Raw genomic sequence first — 5,774 nt, 5'->3', positions numbered from 1 at the left:
GGTACTGAGCATAATACTCAACAGTTATTTTCTCAGCCCTTGGCCCCCTCTTTCCCTCCCCTCAGGTAGCACTCAGTTTCTATTGCTGCCATCTTTCTGTTCATGAGTACCCCATGTATTTCTTTTTAAAAGGAAACTTTCTATGGCAATTGTAAATGGGAAAGGAACACCCATCAACATAACCATACAAATTATATTCAGTGAAAACAAAGTAACGTTATTGAATTCGAGCGATACTGTAGCCTGATGAATTTCCACTCCAAAGGCCTTGGCTTTTATTTTTTGTTTTGTTTTAGAGAGATGGGGGTCTCACTATGTTGCCCAGACTGGTCTTGAACTCCTGGGCTCAAGTGATCCTGCCAGTCCTCCTACCTCAGCCTCCCAAAGTACTGGGATTATAGGCGTGAACCACCTCAGCTGGCCTGCTTTTTCTTAAAAGGAAAAGGCAGCCCCTGCTAGGAAGGTGTAAGACAGAATAACATTGAAGGAACACTTTCTCCTTGATGTAATCAGAAAGCTGGAAAGACTGGGAGAAATAACGTACTCACTTCTGATGAGATGTACTGACTCCCTGTCCTGTGGAGATGAGCAGGAAGCGTCATCAGCTTTGAGGCCTCGGCTCCCAGCTGTTCTCCTGAACCCTAGCGGGCTTCCCAGGCTGAAGGCCTACTTGGTTTTCATTAGGCCCCAGAACAATGGAGGGTGTTAAGCTGTTTATTATTTCAAGTCAGCAGAATTAGCGAAGACTTCGTGCATGGTACTTAAACCTATGCCACCCTCTAGAAATCCAGCCTCTTTCAAGAGATGCAAATTGTTCTCAAATCTCTTATTAGCAATACTCTTAACTGTTGAAAGATTACAGGCCATTAAGAGGTTTGAGAAACCACAGAGGCCCCTGAGAGCCGCGACAGAAGGCTGGAGACACCGAGGGGGTTTTCCTGGGCACTCGGGGTGAATGTGCAGCTCGCCGATTGTGCAGCCCCCACCAGACGCCGTGTCCTGGACACTGGACACCTCACATGGCCTCGTCCTCACCACCACCCTGCCCGTGGGGAGTATTAGGCCTGTTGTACAGATTTTTCAGTGGAGCTCAGAAAGGTGGAGTCATTCTGTAAGAAAACTTCATTCATTCATCCATTCAAAAATATTTACTAAAGCCTCCTATGTTAGACATGGTTCTGGGCAGTGGAGATATGACAGTGAAGCTGTTACAGCGGGTAGTTAGTCAGGTATGAGCGGGGCAAAAGAGGGCTCCCCCACACACACCAGGAGTGTCAGACAGCCATCAGCTGATGGTCAGGTGGTTGTTACTGTCTCGCTAAAGTACTAATTGGTCACAGCTGGTGCCAGGGACCGGCCTTCTCCTGGCAGATAGAAGACACCTGAAACTGGTGATCAGCTACTTCCCAATAAGATCCCAGGAGTCAGAAGTAACACAAGACTGGCCGGGGCGCAGTGGCTCACACCTGTAATCCCAGCACTTTGGGAGGCCGAGGCCGGTGGATCATGAGGTCAGGAGATCGAGACCATCCTGGCTAACACGGTGAAACCCCCGTCTCTACTAAAAATACAAAAAATTAGCCGGGCGTGGTGGTGGGCGCCTGTAGTCCCAGCTACTCGGGAGGCTGAGACAGGAGAATGGCGTGAACCCAGGAGACGGAGCTTGCCTTGAGCCAAGATGGCGCCACTGCACTCCAGCCTGGGCGACAGAGCGAGACTCCATCTCCAAAAAAAAAAAAAAGAAGAAAAAGAAAAAAAGGTAACGCAATACCCGGAAGTACACCAACATAGAAAGCCCCAGGTCAAAAGGTCAAGCTATGCACTTGATCTCTCAAGTCACCCACTTGGCCCCCTTCCAAGGATACTCTCCTTCCTTTCCTTCTTGCTCTGAAGCTTTCTAATACACTTTTACTCCTGCTTTAAAACTGGCCTTGGTCTCTCCTTGTGCTTTATGCCCCTCAGTCGAATTCTTCCTTCTGAGGAGGCAAGAATCGAAGTTGCCACAGACCTTCTGGATACGGATTCTCCACCATTAACAGACCTAACAGGCAAAAACTACCTGCTTAATGGAACCTGCATTCTCATGGGGGAAGGTATATATCAGAGATTCAGAGTGGTGTCAGGTGGTGCAGGAAATGCCTGCAAATACGAGGTATAGGTTGGAAGGGGTGGGTCCGAACAGCATCGTCTGCACTTCACCTAGCTCTGGGTTCTTTGTCAACATTTTTCCTGAATATGCTAAACACATATTAAACCCGCGAGTGGGTTGCATCCAGGTCAGCATCCTGGTGGTAACACTGCACTGTGGTATGAAAGATGTTACCAGTGGGAGAAACTGGGTGAAGAGTACAGAGATCTCTCCGTGTTACTCCTCACACCTGCCTAGGAATCTACCATTATCTCAGCATAAAACGTTTTTTAAAAATTAAAAAAAAAAAATCTTTAACCGAAGCCAAAATAGTAACAATGGCTCCCATCTGTCAAGCGCCTGGAGAGGCCGATGGTGAACAAACAGCCCTGGAGCCAGACCACCTGGGTTCAGATCTCAGCTCCACCCGTGGCCTCGGTCGAACGCTATCACTGCCCTGGGCCTCAGTGCTGACATCTGACAAATGGGTTTGTGGTGGTGACCGCCTCCTCCGGTTGGTGTGAGAAGGAGATGTTAATGAGCAAGGGCCCCACGTGCTGTTTGTTTTTTATTGTTATGACTTTGTGGAGGGTTCTGGGAGGCTCTGTACTGACCTTTTACAAGCATCGAGCATTATCTCAGGTAATCCCCATAACCACACTTCAGAGGCAGGATGAAGCCCACTTCACAGTTGACAAGAGAGGAGCACCTAGAGCTGAGGTTGAGCGGTGGGTCTCGGACCTGGAGGTTGCTGGCGGAAGGGAGGGGACTGAAGGACACGTCCTGGACAGGGGTTGCTATAGCCCAGTCCTGCCCACCCCTGGAGAGGCAGGACCCTGCCCTGGCCACACAGGCTGCAGGGATGCTGGCTTTGGGGCCGGGCTCTGTGCAAACCATCATCTCCCCCAAGGAAAAGCAGTCAGCCACCGGTGTCCTCTGGAGTGTCTGGGATTCAGAGACTCCCCAAAGCTTTGCAGAGCGAGGGGCCTGTGTGTCCTCCCGCCATCTTAGGGAGAAGCTGGAGCTGAAAGTTCACCTCATTCCCATCATCCAAAAGACAGAGGGCCTCCCTCGCCAGCTGGGGTCCTACTTCTTTTCTAAGCCTGCTCCAATTTTTGTTTTGTTGCCGTGTTTTTGTCTCAAGCCTCATGTGTTGTCCCAGCAAAAATTGGTTTGATATTTCCAGAAAGGTTTCTCCTCTTCCCTGAGAACAAACAGACCCTAGCTCCGCACAATTCAAACCCTCAGGGCTCAGGAACCAGAAAGAATAGAGGAGGAAATCGGTGTTGGAGGCCTGGGCGGGTGCACAGGGGAGAGAGGTGCAGCGGGTGCCACATCGCGGGGCCACCCCACAGCAGGCGCTGCTAATCCCAGCTATGGAAGAGGAAACTCAGACCTCAGAAAGGAAAAGTGACTCCCAGAGCAGCAGAACTGGCTGGGGCTGTGGCTCTGAGGACACCACTTAAGAAACTCTCTTAAATAATCATCACGTTTTCCAATTTAATAATAGTGCCCTTCTCTCTTCTCAGCACCACTGCCCTGCAGAGGTCAGGGGCCGAATCTGAGCTCTGGTACTTACTAGCTGTGTGCCTTGGGGCAAGTCTTCTGGGCCTCACTTACCCCATCTGTAAAATGGGCACAAAAAATACCTGCCCCATAGGGTGGTGGACACGGTGAAATAGATTAACCGATGTGAGGCTCCTGAAATGGTGCCTGACTCACTAGATCTTCTCTCTCTCTCTCTCTCTCTCTCCTCTCTCTCTCCAAATATATATGTGTGTTAGCTGTCATTGAAGAGGTTTGTGATTTACGGAAAAGTAAGTGGGCCAATGTAGCATTGTAAATACTTGTAACAAATAACTGGAATTCATCTTAATTCAACAAGGTTTGAATTTTTCCCAGAAGGCTTTTAAGTTTTCTCTTTTGTTTTGTCTTGCTGTGTTTACTAAGAAAGAGAGCCCCACGCTGATGAGAAGGAGCGTTCCCGAGGTTGCTTTTGGGCCAGTCCTGTGCATGCTCTTGGTTTGGACAGCAAGGCCCTGGGGCTAGGGTAGGGCCCAGCACAAGATAACCAGGGGCCGCGTCACTTTCCTTCAGACCCGACCCACAAACAAGGGGACAGAACAGAGGCGGGCATCCTGGAAAACTCTCCCACGCTGAGAGCGTTTCTGCTTCACGAAGAACCAGTCCCCAGCGCCCCTACTCAGCTCACGCCACATCCCGGGTGTCGAGTAGTCCGCAGTGGTGCTCTACTCGCAGGCTGCTGTGACCCTTGGACCAGGGTGAGCCCCCACCCTGGCAGGGCACCCTTAGGGAGCAGGAATTAAAGAAACAAAACCTCAGAAGTCTCCAGTTCATTAAATGGAAGCGTATTTCCTAAGTTTGAATCTAGATGTTTAGGCTTAGAGCTGTTCTCAAGCCCTGGCTGCACACAGGATTACCTGGGAGCTGGTAAAAATCAATCAATCAATAAAGCAGCCGCATGCCCGCAGGTTCTTCTAAATCCCTGGGGGGCATCTGTGCTGTAAAACTCTCCAGGGAATGAGAACCGCTGGGCCTGGGAGGGGAGCCTTGGGCTAGGAACAGCAGGAGACGAAGGTCTCTGCAGCAGAAGTGAGCGCCAGCGACAGGAGAGTGGGGCAGATCCCTGCCACCTCCCCCAGCCACCCACCCAGCCTCTCCTCACCCGGGTACTTTCCAGAGAGCACCGCCTGCCTCCTTCTCCCCTGACCCCGCCTCACTCAGCTCTGCCTGGCTGTTAACAGCACCAGGGCTTCTCCGCTCTCCCCAGGTATCTAGCCCCAAAGCTTTTTCAACTCTACTGCTTTCTTATCTGCCTGCCTGGAACCCCATCTTCACCTCCTTCATCTCCCTCTTTCTGGTTTCCCTTCCTGGTGTCCCCGGCCTGCAACATACTGAGTCCTGCAGCTATGACCTTCCTCTGGCTCTCAGCTTCTCTCTTTTGATGCTCAAGAGGTGTAAGATTGTCACAGCCACAGCAGGGAAGAAAAACAGGCTTCTCTGTGCTCTTATTGATGAACTGAGGAGGCCCTTCTCAAGCCTGGCCTCCAGCTCTGGCCTCCAGGCCCTGGGAGGGGCATTAAACACACGGCCCACCCACCCTGGCTTCAGACTCTCACAGCTTCTGTCGTCACACACTTGCCACTACACCTTCCCCTCTGGCCTCATAAGGACCTTCAAAGTAAATCACGGAAGGAATCCTTAGCCTGTTTTCTTTGGATGTGGATATGGAAATTCAGCTAGAAGTTGGGGGACCCAGAACTTAGCCTGGGGACTGGTGATTCTCTCCAGAGCCCTCGGAGCCAGAGCGGCCAGGTGCCAGGTGTGGCTGCTCAACCCCTAGGTTTTCAGTGTCCTTCTTCGGGGCCACTGTCCCTCCAGGCAGTATGCACAGTGGTTAGGAGCCTCACTAAGAAGAGGGGCTGTGACACCTCTGGAGGTTAATGGACGTGACATGCAGAATGCACCTGGAACACACCTGGCCCTAGAGAGTGCTCCACAGTGGCCTCTGCTCCCTAGCCACCATTCTCTGTGGCGCTTTAAAATCCGCCTGCAGGGTGATCTCATGTGCTGCCCTCACCGCTGGCCGGTAGGACTTACAGGAAGGAATCAGGCCGAACCTCTG

The 5,774-nt window shown here is 51.3% G+C and overlaps 1 annotated feature.

Moving 5' to 3' along the window:
- Window positions 4,332-4,832: an enhancer, noted in NCBI's record as "H3K4me1 hESC enhancer chr16:86235472-86235972 (GRCh37/hg19 assembly coordinates)". NCBI's record gives its function as "activates a minimal SCP1, AML or CMV promoter by ChIP-STARR-seq in naive H9 embryonic stem cells {active_cell/tissue: H9 hESC(naive)}" and the evidence as "EXISTENCE:reporter gene assay evidence [ECO:0000049][PMID:30033119]".

The sequence above is a fragment of the Homo sapiens genome, chromosome 16 (assembly GCF_000001405.40).
Source record: "Homo sapiens chromosome 16, GRCh38.p14 Primary Assembly".
In the NCBI taxonomy this organism is placed as follows: Eukaryota; Metazoa; Chordata; class Mammalia; order Primates; family Hominidae; genus Homo; species Homo sapiens.
The sequence above is the reverse complement of the archived record's forward strand: the minus strand, read 5'-3'. Positions and strand labels throughout refer to the sequence as shown.